Here is a 25324-nt window from a genome sequence, read left to right as displayed (position 1 = left end):
GCTTAGTGACCTAAACAAATAAGAGTTTGTTTTGCCTTACCAAAAAAATCCAAATATAAGCAGCTGTTACTGTTAACTTACCTGCTCAGTGATAACATGAATAAGAAGCTCTTCCCGCTTTTCACTTCATGTCCTTAACATATTGGCTTTTCATCCTCATGTTTCTTGCCCCATGGACAATGGATGTATGCTTCACTCATGTGTTCACATTCAAGGAAAAAAGAGAGTCAGGGATGGTCCCAGCCATATTCCTACTTTATCAAGACACAAAATTATTACACAAAGGACCCCCGCCCACCACCCAGCAAATTCCACTTTATCTTATTGATCAATACTTAGCCAAATATCCATCCTACTCTATAAGGAAGATATATTAATAGAAAGAGAGTATCTGTTTTTTTTCAGCCTCCCTACTGGCAAGGAGAAGGAAATTGGCAATGGATGTTGGTGTCTTTCTTGGTGCTCTTGAGGAGGTGGGAAAAGGGATGCTTAGAGCCATATGATGGCCTTGACAGTGCCCTTTGTCTGGCTGACTTTTGCTGATTTCATCAGCCTTTCTGGATGACTTAGGCTCATCTTGACCCTGAACAGGCTTCAGACCCCAGCCACACACTGATATCTCTGTCATCCACTGCCCAGATGGCACAGCCTAATGCCTTTACTGTGGAGTTGCTCATTCCCACTACAATAGCTGCTCATTTCCACATTACACAGAAGGAGGTGCTGAGATGCACCTTCTTCTGCCTAATCACACTCTGCTATCATGTTTATTTGTAATATGGATCTACCACTCAATTGATCTGGAGACAGCCTGCAAGTTATATCCTTTTAGAATAAGACAAAAGCTTCCTGGTTCTTGGAATTCCATATTTTGTCCAGTATCCCAAAGATACTCTCCCCTCACTAGCTTAGCCTTGAGTGTGTTAATGGGGAGGGCAGTGAGGGGACTCTGATATCTTCTTTCCTCAACCTCTTTCTCTCTTCTCTATCCTCTCACTCTCAAATGCCCCTCTGTAATCATTTTCTTCTTTCCTCCAGGTCACATTCTTCATCTTCCAAATTCCATTCTCATGGCTAAGCTTAAATACTAGTCAGATGGTCTCTTCTATACATGTGGTGTTTTAACTATACAGTTGATATATATACATATCACATACACATATACAGGTATGTTCACAACTATACACATATATTAGCAACTATTAAAGAAACAAAAAACTGATATGATAATTTAGTATACTGTTGTATAATTTGATTGTGAAATAGGATGGTCTACTATAATATAAGTATTATATGGTCTACATGTGAATAAAAGTGTTTCAGAAGTTTTGAACATGAAATTGTACTAAATATTCAAACTATATTAGCCAAGTATAATTTAACTGTGATGATCTAAAAGACCCTGTAGGCTCTTTTCTCATCCAAGATTATCATTACGAACACTAACTGTCATTGTGTGGTATATCTGTGAATACATTATTTAGTTGATGTTTTAGATTGACTGAATTGAAGATAAGTTAACTATACAGTTTCGCACACTTATTTTTGAGTAAATAAGTTTTAATATTAAGGTTAGCTGTCTTTTTCTCAGGGACATTTCCCTGACATATCCAACTAAATTATATTTTTCATTTATATGCTCTTATTGCACGCTATATTTGTTCTTTGTATCATTAATCATATTGTAATTGAATAATTGTTTATGTAACTGTTTAATATTAAGCTCTCCTATTCCACTGTAAATGCCACAACTGTAGGGACTTTATATGTCTACTTCAGCATTTATTCCTATCATCTAAATGCAGTGCCTGGCACTTAGTAGCTATTTGGTATATATTTTTTGGCTGGATAAATAAGAGGTCAAATAGGTTAAGAACTGAGAAATGTCACTTGAATTTAATAACAAACATGATGACAGCAATTTCAATGAATTAATGGGAAAGACATGAGACCACAGATAGGTAAACACTGCAAAAAAGCACTGAGGAACCAGAAGGAAAACCAAAGCCAAAGTTACTAACTTTATCTAAAATGACAAAATCTTTGTCTGTTTATTATATGTTATTTTAATTAAAAAATTAAATCTAAAGTGTCAGGCAAAAAATTACTAAATTATTTTTATTAAATTGACCATTAACATGTCTCTGAGAATCAACACAGAGAAGACCTTTATAAGTGGCAGGTTCTCTTGTGATATTAACCTCTTTCAGTTTTGCTTGCACACTTGTTTTGAGCTCTCCAGAGTTTGGCAGCCAAGAGGACATACATACACATAACAGAATAAGGCAATATGTTCAATTTGGTTACTATGAACAAATTGAAGATGTGCCATAGAAACTGTCATTTGGATATTTGAATAAAACTCCCACTTAAAATTGGGTTAAGATTTTTCTTTCAGGATGCTATATGCACATTTTATTTTCTTTCTGTCCTGACAGAAAGGACACTTCTTTGTATGTTTCTTCTCTGCCTTTAAAGGTGATTTTATTATTTTAAGTGTCTGTTTTAACCATCATGTGAAGTTAAAGACAAGAATGGAATGACCTTTAGTTTCAGAGCCATAAATATTTCAAAAGAAATAGACCTTTTGAGCTCAGGAAAGGTGTGTCAGATGAACAGGTGTCACTGTAGGTTAATGAGTTGGCTTTCACCACCAGCCACCTGGACTGTAATTTGGGTTGGGTCACACATGTGCATGAAGTTGGCCAATTTAATCCTGGCTCTCTTGGAACTGTCTCCATATTAGAAAGCCATCAAACAAAGAGTCCACTCCGAACCTTATCATCAGTCTCCTAAAGAAAGATTGGGATTGAAATGGCAAGAAAATTAAAGCCCAGGTCCTTCGGCAGGCAGTTGGCAGGCGCACAGTTTTCTCTCCATACAGTGCTTCTCATTAACCAGCTAATGAGTCCTTAGCGATGACTGAGTGACTCAACTGAAAGCAGAACAATGATAAGTGAAAGGGAGTTGTAGAGACACACGTTCAGAAAAAAAAAAAAAAATGTACCAAGCTAAAAACAGAAGTAAATTACATCTTTAGTTAACAAACATGGGCATGTGGGGTGTTTATGAGCAGAGAAGAGACTGATCAGTGTAATCTAAGAACGGCACAGGATTGAGGTATGAACAACTTCTCTAAAAAACCAACAGAATTTAAATCCATCAGGGATCTTGCAAAAGGCATATGGTAAAGAAGCTGTCCATCCATTCTCTTCCTGTGATTCTTTTTATGTGACATTCACTTATTATTTATGACTGTGCTTAAGGAAGCCATCTGGTAAAGTTAGTCATAAACTACCTGCTCCTCTCTGTTTTTTTGTTGAGTACTTAGTCATTGTATTACCTTTTACACAGTCCTTGGCTCATGCATACATTTCACAGACTACCTTCTTTATGAGGTCAGAATGAAGCAGGCCACAGGCTGAAGTCCTGAAGTTACCTTTATTGGTATTTAATTGTGGGCTCCCATCTCATCTAACATCCTGCTGCCAGGTGTGGCAGAGAGTGACAGCACCTCAGAAGCACATCTCTACCAGTAAATCTTGATCACATTTATGCATCTTATATTTCTGTCATTACTGTATTTCCAAAGTGTCCTTTTCACATGGCCATTTTATTGCTCCTTTTGAGTTCCAAAGTTCTCTGACTTCATCTCTCAGTGCCAAAAAAGGCATTATACTATTCTGTTGGTCTTATCATCTTCCAGAAAACAATAATGGCTTTGTTGTATGCCTTTAGTTAAATGTGTTCATTGTGCCAGCAAGACAGGAGTTAGGCATGTCTTCTAGTACAGACTTAAGTCTAACTAGAGAGGGTTTTGGCCTCCTCTATTCTCTATCCCAGGCCCAGCTTTAGAATTGATTTCCCCTGCTGTAGAGCATACATTTGGTGCATTTTATTTCTAGACATTAAATTCTTCTTAGGCTTACTTGTGTATACTTTCAAAATGTTAAGTAGTTACAAATTTGTTTTTGTTTAGCCCTTTAAAAAGTGGCCCAGGATTAAAGTAATGAGATGAAACTAATACAAACTGAAGGAAATATGACAATTTGAGGTATCTTGGGAACTTCGTTTTAAGTCATTGCAATATTTATAGAATATTTCCACAGATAAGAAGAAATGCTTACTTACTTCAGATGACCTAGGATGGACCAAATAGTTGTAAACACTTTAAAAAATATTATTGGAAGAAAATTTCTATGTAATTTAAAGCTCATATATATAAACATTGCCTTTTGAATATGTCAATTTCTATCTTCTCCTGGATTTGCCTTTATGAAATGCCATCTTTTTTATTTAGTTCAGTTATTTGAATATTACTATGACATTGGGGGCAGTAGTAAATGCGACTGAGTTCCACCAAAATCTGTTCTTCCCTTTTGCCATGAAAATAAAATTGTGATTGAGTCGAAACCTCTGAACTAGGTTGTATTTCTCAGCCTCTCTAGCAGTTAGATGGACAAGTTCTGGTTAATAGAATGTGAGCAGAAGTGATGTGTCTGGGTCTGGAAATTAAAACATTCAGCAAAACTCATTAAGATGTTTTCTGTATGTGGCAGGGGTCCAGCTTCATTTGTATCCCAGAGGATGAGGGAGCAATTAGGTTGCAGGAATCTATCTCTGAATGACTGCATATAGCTGATCTGTCCCACCCGTCTGAGTTATTCAGATGGAATCTGTCTCTGAATGACTGCATATAGCTGATCTGTCCCACCCATCTGAGCTATTTACTTCCGCTCTGTTACACAAGAAAGACACTCATTTCTGCATTTGTTAAGCCACTGTATTTTGGATCCTTTTTGTTATAGGAGCTCATCCTCAAATACAACAAACACAGATGTAACCCCATTTAATCAGAAAATGATATGTGTTTGTTATGCTAAAGTTCATGTGTGCTTTTAAATTTTCAGTAGCAAATAGGCTTTGAAAATGTTACTTCTCTAATTGGAGCTAGAAACACAAGTGTATATTTTAATTTTTTTCATTTATATGTAATATAAATATTTCTCATTTACTATCAAGTGCTGATGAGGGTATGAGGAATCTTGGAATTTCATAGTGTGAAATGTAATTGTTATGGTCTTTTTGGAGTTATTTAGTGGTATCTTTTGAAAACAAAAAATTGTATCACTTTTTGGTTCTACTTAGTGAAATCTGTCTTACAGAAATATTTGTACACATGTAAAAACATGCATGTAAAAAGACATGAATTTCAAATACATTTTTGTAATAGAAAAAATAGAAACAATGTAAACACCTATCAATACAGTGATGGCTACATAAATTATGAAAAGTCTATGCTATGAGATCCTTGTTAAGAAAGATGAGGAATGTTCTGATATGAGAAAATAACTAGGATGTAGTAAGAACAAAAATACGTTGCAGAACAGTGTGCAAATTATGACATCATTTAAGTACAACTGCCTGTGTGTATGCACTGTGTTTCCTAGTGTGTATGTGATCTGAGGAAGAAACCGAGGCTGAGATAATAGTGCAATTTGCCTTTGTATTCCTTCATTTTCTTCAGTATCCAACATATAATGGAAGCCAGATGTTGACCCAGATATAAAGAGTTTCATCCTTTCTATTATCCAGTGCGTAATAAGCGACATCCACATGAATAAATACATCTGCGAGATACACAGGACAGGCATAGGAAGACAGTGCACCAAGGTTATCTCTGGCAAGGAAAAGGGGATTTGCAGCATAGATTGGAACGTACAGCAGAACTATCACTTTTCAATTCAATATACTTCTCTGTCATTTGGATTTTTAAATATATCCCATGACTCCTTGACTCAAATATAGCATAACATTAAGAACCACAAAATATTTAGAGTGTTTGATGAAAATTTATGCACCATAGGAGCTTTTTCAGAGTGTCAGATGCTAATGTTACTGTGGGATTTATCATCTGAAAACCATGAGCATCAAAGAAATTAGTCTTAATCTAAAAGGAAGGCTCTGGATCAGAAAGAAATTTAAATAAAAATGGAAAATATTACTTATACTCTTTAAGCAACTTTTGGACTTTTTTTGTGAGAACACTGCAGCTTCCCTGTTGCTAAACTTGGGAATAATGAAGAAAGCCTCATGGGATGAGTGAGAGCTTCTAGGATGAAAGTAGTAACTATGGCTGGGAGATCATTGTTCCAAAGAGAATTGAAGCCAACACAAGGTTAAAATGCTGGCAAGCCCTCTAATTGTGACTTTTGAAAAATGAGGCTCTTTGCAAAAAAAAGGCAGCGGATACATGTTAAGATGTTAGATTTTCAAAGAATGCATACATGAGTAATCTTAAGATGAATGATAATGCTCTGAAGATTGTTTTCCAGAAATAAAAGTTAAAGTGTAATGATATCTTAAACTATTGTTTTAACCATGTAAGAATTTTTTTTTCTTTACTGAACTTTGTGGTGGTTTTAAAGATTTTATTCTGGGAAGTCTATAAGATGAACACTTCTGAGACAGCAGAATTCAAAAGTTTGGAAATTCATAATCAGTTATATTAAATTAAATACTATTTTAAATAGTCTTAAACACTAAGTTAATTAAAATAATGCCTAAATCTTCTTTTTCTCATCTAATAATATTATGGGTGAGTATATTAAAACAATTCTAAAAAACTAAAATAAAGCTTATACCTAGTGGTTATTCCACAGACTAATTTGGAAAATATCAGTGCTTGGCATGAATGATTCTGTTCTCCCAAAGCATTCAGTTGAGTAGTGACAATCAACCTGTAGTTTGGAATGTACCAGTACTTAAAAGGAAAACATATTCTTAGAAAAAGCAATCATGCTGTCAGGCATATATTCAACATATAATCATGGATCTCTACATGGATTTACGGAAAGAAGTGAAATAAACTGTAGATCTTCTTCAAAAGGGAAAGAGTATTAATCAAATATTTATAATATGAAAAGCACTATAAGTAATACTATCAAAATGCCTTGGAATCACAAAGAAAAGGCTTAAAAATTCCTCTAAATTCGCAGTGGTTTCACAGAGGAGGTGACACTTAAACCATTTTTAGGAATGTCTAGGATGATTTCTAAACATGGAAAGGGACAGGTGAAGTAAAAACAACAGTACATGCATCTAACATGCTTAAATACATGGGTAAATGCCATAGGGTAAAAACATGAGATTATAACAGGATAATATTTTGAAAATAAGAATTTTGGCCGGGCCCAGTAGGAGGCCAAGGCGGGTGGATCACGAGGTCAGGAGATGGAGACCATCCTGGCTAACACGGTGAAACCCCATCTCTACTAAAAATACAAAAGCAAAATTAGCCAGGTGTGGTGGCGGTCACCTGTAGTCCCAGCTACTCCGGAGGCTGAGACGGGAGAATGGCGTGAACCCGGGGGGCAGAGCTTGCAGTGAGCCAAGATCGCGCCACTGCACTCCACTCCAGCCTGGGCAGCAGAGCGAGACTCCGCCAAAAAAAAAAAAAAAAAAAAAAAAAAGAAAAGAATTTTTCAGAAAGAATACAAACAAAGTTAATATTAGGTTTTGGGCATATAAAATAGGATCTTGCCAACAGACAATAGATTTGAGAGAATAAAAACTATAACTTCTTTTAATTTTCATTTAACATCAAGCGCTGGGCCTGAGAGATGTTGTAGTTTTTTCTCACAATGTCAACCTCCGCCTCCTGGCTTCAAGCGATTCTCCCACCTCAGCCTCCTGAGCAGCTGGGATTACAGGCATGCGCCACTACAGCCAGCTAATCTTTTGTATTTTTAGTAGAGACGGGTTTTTACCACGTTGGTCAGGCTGGTCTCGAACTCTGGACCTCGTGATCCACCCACCTCGGCCTTCCAAAGTGCTGGGATTACAGGCATGAGCCACTGTGCCTGGCTGAAAAGTCTCTTATGACCTAGGTTCAGAACTCACACACGTTTCACTTCAGCTTCAGTATATATACCAAAATGAGTCACAGTGTCAGCCCAGGTTTAATGAGTGAAGAAATGAACTTTATGTCTTAATGGAAGAGGCTGCAAGTTTGCATTGCAAGATCTTGAAAAAAAGTGGAATAATTTGTGGTAATTTTCACAATCTACCACAATGAAGTAGTGTTATTTCTCCCTATTTTATACATGACAAACTAAGACTAGAATGTTGCACAGTGACTAGAACAAAGTAGACATTCAATAAACATTATAAAATAAAATAATAAAGTTATGAATGAGTTGAATGATTTAATTAGTACATATATAGATAGAGCTATGATTTGGTCCTGGATTGTCTGTCTCCATGTCCTGATTCTTTCCCATTACTTTACATTGGCTCCTAAATATAAATTTAAACAACAAATAAGAGTTAACAAATAACATGACAAATTTCAGTAAAATCAAATTGTGCCCAGCTGTAGACTCCTGTTGCTGGCCATGATAGAGGTTCATGTGACGTAATTGTTTTAAGACATTGGCTAACAGACAGCACAGGACCATGATCCCTAGGATAGGGATAGATAAATAAATGAGATAAACTCTACAATTGCTCCAGTTTGCTGCCTAGAAATAGTTTTCAGTCTACAAAGCTAATTGGAGAAATCCAAACAGAGCCTGGCAGTCTTTCTAAGTTCGAGATTAGAATTAAAGAAAGCCAAGATAGCAAGAATTTGCAGAAAAGAGTGCTGAAGAAGAGAAGCTGCACAAAGAAAAAAACTCCAAAGATCTATGGAAAAACACCATTGAGTTTCTGGCTGATCACAGATCTATGACTGCATAAAAGGAAACTGCCCAAAGCCAGGGAAATAATCCCTGAAAAGCAGTAGGCTGAACAAGTCGTGGAGCTCAAATAGAGCTGGGCATGAACATATTTCCACCAGCCAGAGTAGAGAGATTTCATAATATATAGGAAATTGGGTAGAGTTCCCGAAGGTACTGCCTTAGGAGCAGAATGAAATTAGCTCAAGACAAGCAGCTTCTGTTGAAAACAAAGCCCTAAGAAAGCTGAAAAAGAATTCTACAAAGGGATTAAACTGGTTTCAAGTAAATTAATTAGACATCAAAACAAAATTTAACAACCTTTAATGAAATAAAAAACAGTATTTAATAAAAAAATTCACAATATCTAACATCCTATGAAAAATTACCATCATGCAAAACCCAGGAAAATATTTAATTAATAAACAGAAAAATCAATAAAAAGAAATAGACCTACATAGGACAGAGGTGATAAAATTAGCAGACAGGTACATTAAAACAGTATTATGAGTATTATTAAAATAATACTCTACTTTGTAGAGTATTATTTCAGTCTACTTTGTAGACTGAAAACTATTATTAAAATAATACTCATAATCTGTTGTATGTTTTTAAGAAGCAGAAAAATATTAAATGATATAGAGAGAAATGGAAGATATAAAAAATCAAAATGGCTCAAACGAGATGAAGAAAAGCAATATTTGAAATTTAATAAAATATATCAAGTGTGATTATGTATGAATACAATGGCAGAATATAATGGCAGAAAAAAAAATTGTTAACCCAAAACAGTTGACACATATACATATATAAACTATCCAAAGTGAGCTCAAAAGAGTAAAACAATTAACTAACTAAAAAGATGCCTCCCAAATAAAGAGCAGAGTATCAGTGACCTGTGAAACAATATTAAGTGGTCAAGCATTTGTCCAACTGGAGTCACAGAAGTGAAAAGTTAAGAGAAAGACACAAAATATTTAAAGAAATAATGGCCAAAAAAATTTCCAAATATGATAAAGCCTACAAACCCAAAGATTCAAAAAACATAATGATTCCAAATCAAAACAAACAGAAAGAAAATTGCACAACCGTGCATCACACACAAAGTACTGAAAATCAGTGTTTTTTAAAAAATCTTAAAATCAGCCAGAGGACAGACATCGAACTAGCTTCAGGAGTTCTTTTTTTTTTCCATACACCAGTGACTCCTGGAATGCCAATGAGACAGAACCCTTCACTCTCCTGGAAAGGGGGCTGAAGCCAGGGAGCCGAGTAGTCTGGTTCAATGGGTCCCACCCCCACAGAGCACAGCAAACTAAGATCCACTGGCTTGAAATTCTCACTGCCAGCACAGCAGCAGTCTGAGATCAACCTGGGACACTTAAGCTTGGCGCGGGGAGGGGTGTCTGCCATTGATGAGGCTCGAGTAGGCGGTTTTCCCCTTACAGTATAAACAAAGCCCCTTGGGAAGTTTGAACTGGGTGGAGCCAACGGCAGCTCAGCAAGGCCTCTGAGGCCAGACTGCCAGATTTCTCCTCTCTGGGCAGGGCATCTCTGAAAAAAAGGCAGCAGCCCCAGTTGGGGACTTAAAAATAAAACCCCCATCTCCCTGGGACAGAGCACCTGGGGGAAGGGGTGGCTGCGGACACAGATTCAGCAGACTTATACGTCCCCGCCTGACAGCTCTGAAAAGAGCAGAGGACCTCCTAGCACAGTGTTCAACCTCTGCTAAGGGTCAGACTGCCTCCTCAAGTAGGTCCCTGACCTCCTTGTATCCTGACTGGGAGGAATCTCCCAGTATGGGCCAACAGACACCTCATACAGGAGAGCTCTGGCTGGCATCTGGCAGGTGCCCCTCTGAGACGAAGCTTCCAGAGGAAAGAACAGGAAGCAATCTTTGCTGTTCTGCAGCCTCCACTGGTGATACCCAGGCAAACAGGGTCTGGAGTGGACCTCCAGCAAACTCCAGCAGACCTACAGCAGAGGGGCTAACTGTTAGAAAGAAAACTAACAAACAGAAAGGAAGAGCACATCCACTCAGAGACCCCATCCATAGGTCACTAACATTGAAGATGAAAGGTAGATAAATCCACAAAGATGGGAAGAAACCAGAGCAAAATGGCTAAAAATTCCAAAAACCAGAATGCCTCTTCTCCTCCAAAGGATCACAACTCCTCACCAGCAAGGAAACAAAACTGGACTGAGAATGAGTTGGATGAATTGACAGAAGTAGGCTTCAGAAGGTGGGTAATAACAAACTCCTCCAAGCTAAAGGAGCATGTCTAACCCAATGCAAAGAAACGAAGAACCTTGAAAAAAGGTTAGACCAATTGCTAACTAGAATAACCAGTTTAGAGAACATAAATGACCAGATGGAGCCGAAAAACACAGCACGAGAACTTCGTGAAGCATACACAAGTATCAGTAGCCAAATCGAACAAGCGGAAGAAAGGATATCAGTGATTGAAGACCAACTTAATGAAATAAAGCAAGAAGACAAGATTAGAGAAAAAAGAATAAAAAGGAATGAGCAAAGCCTCCAAGAAATATGGGACTATGTGAAAAGACCAAATCTACATTTGGTTGGTGTACCTGAAATTGATGGGCAGAATGTAACCAAGTTGGAAAACATTCTTCAGGATATTATCCAGGAGAACTTCCCCAACCTAGCAAGGCAGGCCAACATTCAAATTCAGGAAATACAGAGAACACCTCAAGAAGAGCAACCCCAAGACACATAATCATCAGATTCACCAGGATTAAAATGAAGGAAAAAATATTAAGGGCAGCCAGAGAGAAAGGTCAGGTTACCCACAAAGGGAAGCCCATCAGACTAACAGTGGATCTCTCTGCAGAAACCCTGCAAGCCAGAAGAGCATGGGGGCCAATATTCAACATTCTTAAAGAATATAATTTTCAACCCAGAATTTCATATCAAGCCAAACTAAGCTTCATAAGTGAAGGAGAAATAAAATCCTTTACAGACAAGCAAATGCTGAGAGATTTTGTCACCATCAGTCCTGCCTTACAAGAGCTCCTGAAGGAAGCACTAAACATGGATAGGACAATAGATTAATCTTAAATGTAAATGGACAAAATGTCCCAATTAAAAGACACAGACTGGCAAATTGGATAGAGTCAAGACCCATCAGTGTGCTGTATTCAAGAGACACATCTCACCTGCAAAGATGCACATAGGCTCAAAATAAAGGGATGGAGTAATATTTACCAGGCAAATGGAAAGCAGAAAAAAAGCAGGAATTGCAATCCTAATCTCTGATGAAACAGACTTTAAACCAACAAACATCAAGAGAGACAAAGAAGGGCATTACATAATGGTAAAGGGAGCAATTTAACAAGAAGAGGTAACTTTCCTAAATTTACATGCACCCAATACAGGAGCACCCAGATTCATAAAGCAAGTTCTTAGAGACCTACAAAGAGACTTAGACTCCCACACAATAATAGTTGGAGACTTTAACACCCCTCTGGCAATATTAGACAGATCAATGAGACAGAAAATTAACAAGGATATTCAGGACTTGGACTCAGCTCTGGACCAAGCAGGCCTAATAGACATCCACAGAACTCTCCACCCCAAATCAACAGAATATACATTCTTCTCAGCAACTCATTGCACTTATTCTAAAATTGACCACATAATTGGAAGTAAAACACTCCTCAGCAAATGCAAAAGAACTGAAATAATAATAAACAGTCTCTCAGTCCACAGTGCAATCAAATTAGAACTCAGGATTAAGAAACTCCCTCAAAACCACACAACTATATGGAAACTGAACAACCTGCTCCTGAATGACTACTGGGTAAATAATGAAATGAAGGCAGAAATAAAGATGTTATTTGAAACTAATGAGAACAAAGACACAACGGACCAGAATCTCTGGGCCACATTTAAAGCAGAGTGTATAGGGAAATTTATAGCACTAGAAACCCACAAGAGAAGACAGGAAAGATATAAAATCTACACCCTAACACCAAAATTGAAAGAACTAGCAGAGCAAGAGCAAACAAATTCAAAAGCTAGCAGAAGACAAGAAATAACTAAGATCAGAGCAGAATTGAAGGAGATAGAGACACAAAAAACCCTTCAAATAATAAATGAATCTAGGAGATGGTTTTTGGAAAAGATCAACAAAATAGATAGACTGCTAGCGAGACTCATAAAGAAGAAAAGGGAGAAGAATCAAATAGATGCAATAAAAAATGATAAAGGGGATATCACTGCTGATCCCACAGCAATACAAACTACCATCACAGAATACAATAAACACCTCTACACAAATAAACTAGAAAATCTAGAAGAAATGGAAAATTGAATCCCTGAATAGACCAATAACAAGTCCTGAAATTGAGGCAGTAATTAATAGCCTACCAACCAAAAAAAGTCCAGGACCAGAAGGATTCACAGCTGAATTCTACCAGAGGTACAAAGAGGAGTTGGTACCATTCCTTCTGAAACTATTCCAAACAACATAAAAAAAGCAAATCCTCCATAACTCATTTTCTGAAGCCAGCATCATCCTGATACCAAGCCTGGCAGACACACAACAAAAAAGAAAATTTTAGGCCAATATCCCTAATGAACATCAACGCAGAAATCCTCAATAAAATACTGGGAAACTGAATCCTGCAGCAGATCAAAAAGCTTATCCACCATGATCAAGTCAGCTTCATACCTGGGACGCAAGGCTGGTTCAACATATGCAAATCAATAACCGTAATCTATCGTGTAAACAAAACAAATGACAAAAACCACATGATTATCTCAAAAGATGCAGAAAAGGCCTTTGACAAAATTCAACAGCCCTTCATGCTAAAAACTCTCAATAAACTAGGTATCGATGGAACGTATCTCAAAATAGTAAGAGCTATTTATGACAAACCCACAGCCAATAGCATACCGAATGGGTAAAAACTGGAAGCATTCCCTTTGAAAACCGGCACGAGACAAGGATGCCCTCTCTCAACAATCCTATTCAACATAGTACTGGAAGTTCTGGCCAGGGCAATCAGGTAAGAGAAAGAAATAAAGGGTATTCAAATAGGAAAAGAGGAAGTCAAATTGTCTCTGTTTGTAGATGACATGATCATATATTTCCCCACCACTCAGCCCAAAATCTCCTTAAGCTGATAAGCAACTTCAGCAAAGTTTCAGGATACAAAATCAATGTGCAAAAATCACAAGCATTCCTATACACCAATAACAGACAAACAGAGCCAAATCATGAGTGAGCTCCCATTCACAATTGCTGCTAAGAGAATAAAATACCTAGGAATCCAACTTACAAGGGATGTGAAGGACCTCTTCAAGGAGAACTACAAACCACTGCTTAAGGAAATAAGAGAGGGCACAAACAAATGGAAAAGCATTCCATGCTCATGGATAGGAAGAATCAATATTGTGAAAATGGCCATACTGCCCAAAGTAGTTTATAGATTCAATGCTATTCCAATCAAGCTACCATTGACTTTCTTCACAGAATTGGAAAAAACTATTATAAATTTCATATGGAACCAAAAAAACAGCTCGCATAGCCAAGACAATCTTAAGCAAAAAGAACAAAGCTGGAGGCATCATGCTACCTGAACTCAAACTATACTACAAGTCTACAGTAACAAAAACAGCATGGTATTGGTACCAAAACAGATACATAGACCAACAGAACTGAACAGAAGCCTCAGAAATAACACCACACATCTACAACCATCTGATCTTTGACAAACCTGACACAAACAAGCAACGGGGAAAGGATTCCCTATTTAATAAGTGGTGTTGGGTAAACTGGCTAGCCATATACAGAAAACTGAAACTGGACCCCTCCCTTACACCTTATACAAAAATTATCTCAAGATGGATTAACTACTTAAATGTAAGATGTAAAACCATAAAAATCTTAGCAGAAAACCTAGGCAATACCATTCAGGACATAGGCATGGGCAAAGACTTCATGTCTAAAACACCAAAACCAATGGCAACAAAAGCCAAAATTGACAAATGGGATCTAATTGAACTAATGAGCTTCTGCACAGCAAAAGAAACTATCATCAGAGTGAACAGGCAACCCACAGCATGGGAGAAAATTTGTGCAATCTGTCCATCTGACAAAGGGCTAATATCCAGAATCTACAAAGAACTTAAACAAATTTACAAGAAAAAAAACAAACAACCCCATCAAAAAGTGGGCAGAAGATATGAATAGACACTTCTCAAAAGAAGACATTTATGCAGCCAACAAACATGAAAAAATGCTCATCATCACTGGTCATTAGAGAAATGCTAATCAAAATCACAATGAGATACCATTTCACACCACTTAGAATGGTGTTCATTAAAAAGTCAGGAAACAACAGATGCTGGAGAGGATGTGGAGAAATAGGAACACTTTCACACTGTTGGTGGGAGTGTAAATTAGTTCAACCATTGTGGAAGACAGCATGGCAACTCCTCAAGGATCAAGAACTAGAAATACCATTTGACCCAGTGATCCCATTACTAGATATATACCCCAAGGATTATAAATCATGCTACTATAAGGACACATGCACACGTATGTTTACTGCAACACTATTCAGAATAGCAAGACTTGGAACCAACCCAAATGTCCATCAGTGATAGACTGGATTAAGAAAATGTGGTACATATACACCATGGAATACTATGCAGCCATAGAAAAGGATGAATTCATGTCCTTTGCAGGGACATGGTTAAAGCTGGTAACCATCATTCTCAGCAAACTAATACAAGAACAGAAAACCAAACACCGCATGTTCTCACTCATAAGTGGGAGTTGAACAATGAGAACACATGGACACAGGGAGGGGAACATCACACACCGAGGCCTGTGAGGGGGTGGGGGGTTAGGGGAGGGATAGCGTTAGGAGAAATACCTAATGTAGGTGACGGTGCAGCAAACCACCCTGGCACGTGTATACCTATCTGACAAAAACTGCACATTCTGCACTTGTGTCCCAGAACTTAAAGTATAATAAAAAATAAAAATTGAATCAGCCAGAGGAAGGGGAAAACACATTATGTACAAAGGGAAAAAAATATGAACAACTGCAGACTTTTTGTCAAGAAGTAGGCAAGCAGAACACAGTGGTATAACATCTTCAAAGATTTGAAGAAAATTGTAAGCCTAGAATTCTATAGTATGTAAAATTATCTTAGCAAATGAAGATTTAATAAAGATATTTTCAGACCAAAAGAACAAAAATTAAAAGCTGAAAAGAATTTATTGTCATCAGTCAGGCACAAAAAGAAATATTAAAGGAAATATTCAGGCAGAATGAAAATTAGAAACTAAAATCTATAGGAAAGAATGAAAAATGCTGCAAATAGTAAACATGTGGATAAATGTAAAGTCTTTTAAAATTATTTTTCTCATTTGCCAATTTCTTTAAAATATAATTGTTCAAGCAAAAATAATAGCAATGTATCTTGGGGTTTATAACACGTACAAGTAAAATGTATGACTATAATAGCAAAAAGGTTGGAATGGGGAAAATGAAAATACACTACTATAATATTCTTACACTATATATAAAGTGTTATAGTATTATTGTTGGAAGATAGACTAGAGTAAGTTGAATATGGGTACTCCAAACCTTAAAACAGCCATTAAAAAACAAAAAACAAATCCAAGAATTAGCGCTAATAAACCTTAAAAGTGAAAGAACAAAGTAAAATATACCATTTAGGCCTAAGCAGAAGAAAGCTAAAACAGCTATATTAATTTCAGATGAAGGTCATTTTTAGAATGAATGAAAAATGTTACCAGGAATAAAGATGGACATTTTATAATCATAAAGGTATTTATTCATCTAGAGAATGTAATCCTAAATGTTTGCATATCTAATAAATATACAAATACATTAGAATTCTAAAGTATATGAAGCAAATATTAATGGAACTGAGAAAAGAAATATAAAAATCCAAAATTATAGTTTAAAGATTTTAGAAGTTTTCTCTCAGCAACTGATGGTAGAACGATCATACAGAAAATCAATAGGTTATACAAGATGTGGACAACACTATCAACCAACTTAATCTAACAGATATTTATAGTATACTCTCTCACACAACAGTAGAATACACAATTTTTCAGGTAAACACTTAGCATTTACAAAATAAACTATATTCTGGGCCATAAACATGTCTCAGTACATTTTTTAAAGATTAAATTTGTATAAAGTGTGTTCTCTGACCACAAGATAATTAAACTAGAAATTAATAACAGAAAGATATTTTTTAATCCCCACATCTTTAGAAATTTAAAAAGCTGCTTCCAAATAACCCATGGGTCAAAGAAGACATCACATGGAAAATTTACAAGCATTTTTAACTTAATGGAAATGAAAATACATAATATTAACATTTATGGGAGGCAGCTAAAGCAGTGCTTACAGGAAAATTTATAGCATTGTATGATTATATTAGAAAAGAAGTTCTGAATCAATGATCTAAGCTTCCATCTTAATATGCTAGAAGGAGAATGCAAGTTAAACCCAAATAAAAGAGAAGAAGACAATAATAAAGGTAAGAGCAAAGGAAAACAGAAAAACAATAAAATAAATGAAGCTAAGTCCCAGTTTTTAGAAACAACTATTCCCAGCCCAAGATAGCCAAATGAATTCAACATCCTATAGAGTGCAGTATCAAATCATCTTCATACGAGCATTATTATTAAATACAAAAACATCCTCGGTCATAGGGAGACAACATTCTTACTAGAAAACATTTTTCTTCCTGTTCACAGAAAACCTGGCAGATATAAGAAGACTCTCTCTACCTAGCCTGACAGCAAAGTGTGGTGATTAGGCAAATGAAGCTGTATTTAGAACACTACTCTGCTAAGTATGAGTTGAGAGGAAAAGCTCAGTCTGCACCAGACCCATGTCAGCAATAAGTCTTTGCCAGTAAAATTTGAAATGAAACATAAAAGTCAGTTTTGGTTTTTTATCTTAGACACAAAGTTGAAAAAAATATTACCCTCAGCCTCTGTGCAAAGAAAGCTTCTTGCTTTGAAAACAACTTAGAGAGATGTTACATTTGTCTCATTTATTTTTTAAAACTGAGAGAAAGTTTTCATTTCACAACATTATCCCCCTTTCCAAATACAAAACACAGCATGATAAACATTAAGAAAAGTATACTATCATGAGAACAACTGATGTTGTAGTTGTAAGAACCTTGCAGACGATCATGGTAAAGTGATCAGATGTCTTAGGTTTCATTGTCATCAGCTGCTGTGGTGACTAAGTGTTCAAAACTGTTGGTCCTCCTCTAGAACAAAATAACCTTTTTTCACACATGCTATTTTAGATCTTTCCGTTAAATACTGCTTGTGAAATGACTTATTATCAGATACTCCAGATGTAATTCCTTTCCTGACCACACATAGTTTACTCTGAAAAATGCTGTAAAGAGCAAATTCATTGAATCTATATTTCTTCAGTTGAAAAAACCAAGCTGTTACAATTTCTCAGTGATGTGTGGTGGTTGCATCTGTAACAGTTCATAACCAAAGGAAAATTTGGCAGCTCAGTGGTTGCACAATTCATACTTAACCATTGGATAAATTAAGTATTTTAGTCTTGAATTCCAGTGTGGCCTAAGGAATGTTAGTTGTCTTTTTTTCCAAAACTGTGGTATACATACAACCTAGTTAAGTCCCTTACACAGGGCTTAGTCATTATCCCCTGTATATTTGGAGAATGTTTTGTGTGTGGCAAATTAGTGTAAAGTCATCTTTGTTTGGTTTCTTCCAAGCTGTAATTCATTAAATTCTCTATCAGTGAGCTGTTCCACTTCTTCAGTCTGGGAAAAGTCTTTTTCAGACAGTCATCTATAATTTTGGCCATTCCTCTTCTTTGCATTAGTACAATTTAATAAGTCATGAAACACCACAGAGGGGTACATCCACACCAAGCAGCTTCAAAGCCAGAAAGACTATGACAAGCTTTCCTTGGACTCTTTTCCGCTCTCTATTCCAGATCCCATGGCTTTCCATGCTAGGAACCTAGCAATGGCACCATTAACTCCTGAAAGGAAAAGTCCTCCTGTCAACCTGAGAAATTACCCAAAAATACCCTTTGCTAAAAAATTCTAATTGCTTTCTGTAGTCCAATACACAATTTGACATGCCAGGAGACCATGTTGCAATATCTTTTGAGGCTGAAAGAAGGAAACTCAATGAAAGAATTCTACATGAGGTGTCAATGTATCACTAATGTGAATAAATCAAATTAAATATTTCAAGAATGGGGGTCTTATGGTTAAAAATAGTATTAAAAATAAACATTAACGCATGAAACATAAACTTAGATTTTTAAAGTTTTGAATATTTATAAAATTGGATGCAAATAGCCAAATTAATTATGTAATGAAATTATATAATATCAAATGATGTAGTTGCATTAATCTGGGTTATATTACCAAAAACTAGGAAGCAATTATAAGAATGAGAAATGGGTTAGGGAAAGAATAAAAATATGCAGTATTCTTTAAAACACTCCTTTCAGTCTTGACATCAGAAAGAACTTTAGAGACCTTTAACTTAAAAGCGTGCTTTGAAGTTTAAAGGCATCACAAGAACAGTTTCAAATGCAATAAGAATTCTGGCTCAAGAGGACTCTGGGTAGTAATTCCAAAATCATCCTCTCAACTTCTCACTAAATAGCTTCTGAAAACAAAAATAAATAAAAATTCTTGATAACACTGAAAACAAAGGCTGAAAGACAGTCAGAATCTGGGAGGATTTAGTATTAGCTAAAAGACAGTTGGCAGAACTATAGTTTCTGACACACTCTCACTTTATGCAACAAAATTTCTAAAAATTAATAGATAGATGTTTCATGCCTCTATCACCATACATTCACATCTCAGCATTCCAGAACTGATAGCAACTGGGACACTGCAAGTATCTCTCCCTACCATTTAAAGATGCTTTCTAAACCAGAGTATACTTTGCCCAACTCCAGATACTGAAAACTCCTGGAAAACAATCAGGCATGAAATCAAAGAAAATTTCTGAATGCAGCACATCTTCTGAGGCAAGCAGTACCCATACATAAAGAGCTTGGGTAAGAAAGAATGGAGGTGCAATGCATCACTATAATATAATTTGTCAGACACTGTTATAAGTTCAGATGAACAAGAAACTAATTAGTAGGTGAAAGGATAAAGAAAAAGACTCAGCAAGAATAGAGCAGAGATATATTCTACAAAATCAACCTATATAGTAATTGGTGACTAATTCAAGAGATGTGGAGATTAAATATGGCTTAAAGCTATAGATTTGAACAGTGGTGAGAATACAGTGGGATAACTATGTAACCCAAATGGTTCCACCAAGTTACACAATGGGTGGGGAAGGGGGAAGACTAAGAAGAAAGCAATATAGGATGTTAGCAAGATGGTGGAATAAGAGGTTCCAACCCATATCGCCTTCAAGAGAAACACCAAATTTCTCAACCAATCACAGACTAGAATATCTTTGTTAGAGCCTGTATTAGTCTGTTTTCACACTGCTATAAAAATACTACCTGAGACTGGGTAATTTATGAACAAAACAGGTTTAATTGACTCACAGTTTCACATGGCTGAGGAGGCCTCAGGAAACTTACAATCATGGTGTAAGGTTAAGGGAAAGCAAGGCACTTTCTTCGCAAGGTGGCAGGATAGAGAGAGAGAGCATAGGGAACACTACCACTTTTAAACCAGTAGATCTTGTGAGAACTCCTTGCTATCATAAGAATAGCATGGCAGAAACCACGCCCATGATACAATCATCACCCACCAGGTCTCTCCCTCGACATGTGGGGATTACAATTGGATTATAATTTTGGGTGGGGACACAGAGCCAAACCATATTATTCCACGCCTAACCCCTCAAAAATTTCATGTCCCTTTCACATTTCAAAGTCAATCATGCCTTCCCAACAGTCCCCCAAAGTCTTAACTCATTTCAGCAGTAACTCAAATGTTGAAGTCCAAAGTCTCATCTGAGACAAGCAAAGTCCCTTCCACCTATAAGCCTGTAAAATCAAAGACAAGTTTTTTACTTCCTAGATACAACTGGGGTAGAGGCATTGGGTAAATGTTCCCATTCCAAATTGGAGAAATTGGCCAAAACAAAGAGGCCACCATCCCTATGCAAGTTCAAAACCTGGCAGGGCACTCATTAAATCTTAACATTTTAAAATAACCTCCTTTGACTCCATGTCTCACATCCATGGCACACTGATGCAAGAAGTGCACTCCTAAGGCCTTGGGCAGCTGCACTACTGTGTCTCTGCAGACCCCACAGATGCTTTCATGGGCTGACATTGAGTGTCTGTGTTTTTTCCAGGTGTACAGTGCAAGCTTTCAATGTATCTACCTTTTTGGGGTCTGGAGGATGGTGGCCTTCTCACAGCTCCACTAGGCAGTGCCCCATTGGGGACTCTGTGTGGGTGCACCAACCCCACCTTTTCCCTCTGCATTGCCCTAGAGGTTCTCCATGAGGGCCCCACTCCTGCAACAGACTTCTGCCTGGACATCTAAGTGTTTCCATACATCCTCTAAAATCTAGGCAGAGATTCCCAAAGCTCAACTCTTGTCTTCTGCACACTGCAGACCCAACACCACATAGAAGCCAACAAGGCTTTGGGTTTGTACCCTCTGAAGCCATGGCTCCTGTGATACTTTGGTCCCTTTTAGCCAGGACTGGGGATGGAGCAGCTGGGATGCAGGGTACCAGGTCCACAGGCTGAACAGAGCAGTGGGGTCCTGGGCCCAGCCCCAAAACCATTTTTACCTCCTAGACTTCTAGACCTGTGATGGGAGAGGCTGCCACAAAGAACTCTGGCATGCTCTGGAGACATTTTTCTCATGATCTTGGCTACTAACTTATTGCTCCTTATTACTTAGGCAAATTTCTGCAGCAGCCTTCAATTTCTCCCAAGAAAATGGGTTTTTCTTTTCTACCTCATGGTCACGCTGCAGATTTTCTAAACATTTATGTTCTGTTTTCCTTTAAAATAAATTTCCAGTTTCAGGTATTCTCTTTGTGAATGCATATGACCAAACACTTTTGGAATCAGCCAGGTCACTTCTTGAATGCTTTGCTCTTTAGAAATTTCTTCCACCAGATACCCTAATCATCTCTCTCAAGTTCAAATTTCCCCAGATCTCTAGGGCAGGAGCAAAATGCCACCAGTCTCTTTGCTAAAGCATGGTAAGAGTAACATTTGCTCCATTTCCCAATAAGTTCCATCTGAGACCATCTCAAGCTTGACTTCATTGGCCATCCATGTCATTATCAGGGTTTTGATCAAAACCATTCAACAAGTCTTTAGGAAGTTCCAATCTTTCCCTCATCTTTCTGTCTTTTTCTGAGCCGTCAAGATTGTTCCAACCTCTGCCTATTACCCAGTTTCAAAGTTGCTTCCACCTTTTCAGGTTATCTTTATAGCAGTGCCCCACTCCCAGTGCTAATTCTCTGTATTAGTCTGTTTCCACAATCCTATAAAAATACTACCAGAGACTGGGTAATTTATAAACAAAAGAGGTTTAATTAATTCACAGTTCTGCACGGCTGGGGAGGCCTCAGGAAACATACAATCATAATGGAAGGCAAAGGGGAAGTAGGCCCCTTTTTCACAAGGCAGAAGGGGAGAGAGAGAGCACACAAGGGAAACTGCCACCTTTAAACCATCAGATCCATGAGAACTCTCTATCATGAGAACAGAATGGGGGAAACCAACCCCATGATTCAATCACCTCCCACCAGGTCCCTCCCTCAACTTGTGGGAATTACAATTCAAGATGAAATTTGGGTGGAGACACAGAGCCAAACCATATCAGAGCCCCAGAGTTTAGCTGAGAGGTTCCAGTATTCCAGTAAAACAAAAAATATGAGAGCAGACTTGTTGAAAGAGGTGAGAAGAACAGTTTCACTCTACATGTCACTCATCCCCCAAGGAAGCCTAGCTTTATTCTAAGAGAGATCACTTTGGTTCATAATTGCTTCCACAGGGGAAAATGAAAATTAACTGAGCATTTGGCTCCTTAACCTTATGGGACACTGCCCAAAAGGCCCACTTAGGCCTCATCCCACCCAGAACACTGAGGGCATCGGCAGCACAGCTGAATAGTCTGGGACCACTGAAAGCAAGGAGAAGGGACAGGAGTACATAGCAACCTGCACAATGCTCAACAGCTGGCCATGAATCTTGCTAAGCAGCTCACAGACTTCACCATGTGGCATTCCTCTGTAGACAGCACCTCATGTGTTTCCACACACAACACACATGAGTTCCAGCAAAGAGCCCTTGGATCTCAACAGCATGTACAGATCTTAGTAGCTGGCATGATTCTGCTGGTTTGAAAGAAGGTACAAACTTTAACATTTCAGGGCACTGCTCTAGGGAAGCTAAACAGGATGCTCTTAGCACCAGGCCTGGCTTTATAAAACTGGAGAAAGCACACAATCCTAAAACTTTCCTTCTGAGAAGGAACAAAAGGAGTGAAGCAGGAAAATCCATAGAAAAAGTCTGCGTGTCTACCAGAATATGTAGAAGGCCTTTTTCTCCCAAAGCCAGTCAATAAAGACTGGAGGAGGTGAATACTTTTTCAAATGCAAACATGGCAATGCAGAGCTTCAAGGAACAAGAAGAATCAAGGAAATGTGACAGGACCAAAGGAACAAAATAAAGTTCCAGTGGGTAGTGGCTGACCTTAAAAAATTGGAGATCAAAAATTGTCTGCCAAAGAATACAAAGTAGTCACCTTAAAGAAGCTCAGTGAGCTACAAGAGAACACAAATAGACAATTAAACAACATCAGGAAAATAATACATGAATAAAATGAGAAATTCAACAAGCTTATAGAAGCTATAAAAAAGAACCAAATAGAAATCCTGGAGCAGAAGAATACAATGTCTGAAATAAAAATTTTATTAGAGAGCTTTGATAGAAGACTTAATCAAGTAGAGGAAAGAATTAGCATATTCAAAGATAGATCATTTGAAATTATCCATTCAAAGGAACAAAAAGAAAAAAAATAATTAAAAGAGTGAAAAAGGAAAGCTGGGAACCGTTCATGGGACTACAGTGCACCAGAACTCATTCCTGGCCATCAGTGGCTCTGGGGGAAGAGGTGAGTTGAACTGGTAAGGAGCAATCCTATCTCACCATGGACCTCTGGAAATCAGCAGGAAGAGACCCCTCAAACACCACAGACACATCAGTTGATGGGGTGGTTGAGGCTGCTTAAACAAATGGCAGGGGTAGCAAGCCAATTGATATGGATCCCAGAGGGTTTGGTATAGGAGTGCCTGTAATAAAGCATGGCCAGGGAAAACCATCCCCCTAAGCTCAACTTGCTCCCATAGAAGACTTTAGCCATAGGAAAACTTCCAGACCTGAACTCTGCAGGGTGGCCTTGCCCATGAGAGAGGGTCAGTCTGACACAAGCAGCTCTTGGTCTGCCGGTCTCTCCTGGGGCCCCAGCCTGGCCATCCCTGCTTGCAGATCAGTCTCAGGTGCTCTGGGATCCCACACCATAGCTTCTGTGCTGGTGAATTATGCTTGACCAGCAGAGAACTACAGCATGGTGGCCCCTAAAGCCACGCAACAGCCCACACATTCTTTCTTCATATTGCAGCTTCCCCCAGACCCATGGCAACTCCCCACATCACTTTGCTGGTGTGTATCTGCCTGTGGGTTTTGCTTTCCTTGCCCTGTCAGCACGTGAGAGTGCAGGCTGTCCCACCTCCCCCAAATGATCTCCATTGCAGATGAGGTCTTGGCAGGCAAAGAGCCAGCCAGCCCTGCTGCCATGAGCACTGTGCTCTGATGCTAATTCTGCACAGAGAACAGCAGATTCTGCCCTGACCTGAGTGACCACTCTTTCTTGTGAGGCACAGAGAAGGCACTCGGACCTGCACCTGCCAGTGCCACACCCAACTGGAGCCAACATCGCCTCCAGGAAAACTACGCACACAATCACCAGAAGTGGCCCCCAAGCTGTATTACCTCTGCTACCGTGATGAACACCCACAGAGAGGCAGGAACCCCGGCACCCACTAGCACTCTGCTGCAGCTGCCCTACCACTGCGGCTGACCCATGCAAACAAGGATGGATTCCGCTGTCACCACACTATGAAGCACTTTGGTTAACACCACCTATCACAGTGTAGTGATTAGTGATCCAGAAGCACTTTGGGCCTTTCCCCAGCATAGTGGATTCCTAACCTCAAGGAGCCAGAAAAGAAAGGCAGGGCCCAATACAAGAACACAGAGTTAGAGCACACAGTTCAGCAGTTGGAAGCTGAGTGTTGGCTCCCTAAATTCTTCCAAAAACAAAGCCAGTTGGCCGAATCCACCTTTTACCATAATCAAACCCTCAAGGTCAAAAATAGGATAAAAGAAAAAAAATCCATCCTAAGGTAAGCAACCTAAAAGATTGAAGGTAGATAAACCCACAAAGGTGAGAAAGAATCAGCACAAGAACCCTGACAACTCAAAAAGCCAGAGTGCCTTCTTACCTCCAAACAACTGCATCACCTCTCTAGCAGGGGTTCTGAACCAGGCAGAAATAG

General features: G+C 38.2%; 1 protein-coding gene across 5 annotated transcripts in view, besides 1 other annotated feature; it reads right to left on the bottom strand.

Annotated features, from left to right (window-relative positions):
• The window catches only part of BCKDHB (branched chain keto acid dehydrogenase E1 subunit beta), a 360067-nt gene that overhangs the window by 23057 nt on the left and 311686 nt on the right, over positions 1 to 25324 (bottom strand). Inside the window, exons 10-11 of one of the 5 annotated variants that reach the window (XM_047419212.1) lie at positions 25271 to 25324; positions 1870 to 2935 (exon numbers count right to left, since the gene is read on the bottom strand). The exons of 2 other annotated variants lie outside the window; for them this stretch is intronic. In XM_047419212.1, the coding sequence (XP_047275168.1) occupies positions 25286 to 25324 (39 nt within the window). In that variant the 3' untranslated portion in view covers positions 1870 to 2935; positions 25271 to 25285. Of the gene's footprint in view, positions 1 to 1869 lie in introns of those variants that run through there. 2 more of the 5 variants (XM_047419211.1, XM_047419210.1) reach the window with 2 other exon arrangements.
• Positions 4082 to 5281: an enhancer, noted in NCBI's record as "P300/CBP strongly-dependent group 1 enhancer chr6:81148056-81149255 (GRCh37/hg19 assembly coordinates)". NCBI's record gives its function as "activates an origin of replication core promoter dependent on BRD2, BRD4, P300/CBP, MED14 and CDK7 cofactors, with strong dependence on P300/CBP, by STARR-seq in HCT116 cells {active_cell/tissue: HCT116}" and the evidence as "EXISTENCE:reporter gene assay evidence [ECO:0000049][PMID:35650434]".

Source organism: Homo sapiens, chromosome 6 (assembly GCF_000001405.40).
Source record: "Homo sapiens chromosome 6, GRCh38.p14 Primary Assembly".
NCBI classification, from domain to species: Eukaryota; Metazoa; Chordata; class Mammalia; order Primates; family Hominidae; genus Homo; species Homo sapiens.
This window is presented reverse-complemented; position numbering and strand designations above follow the sequence as displayed.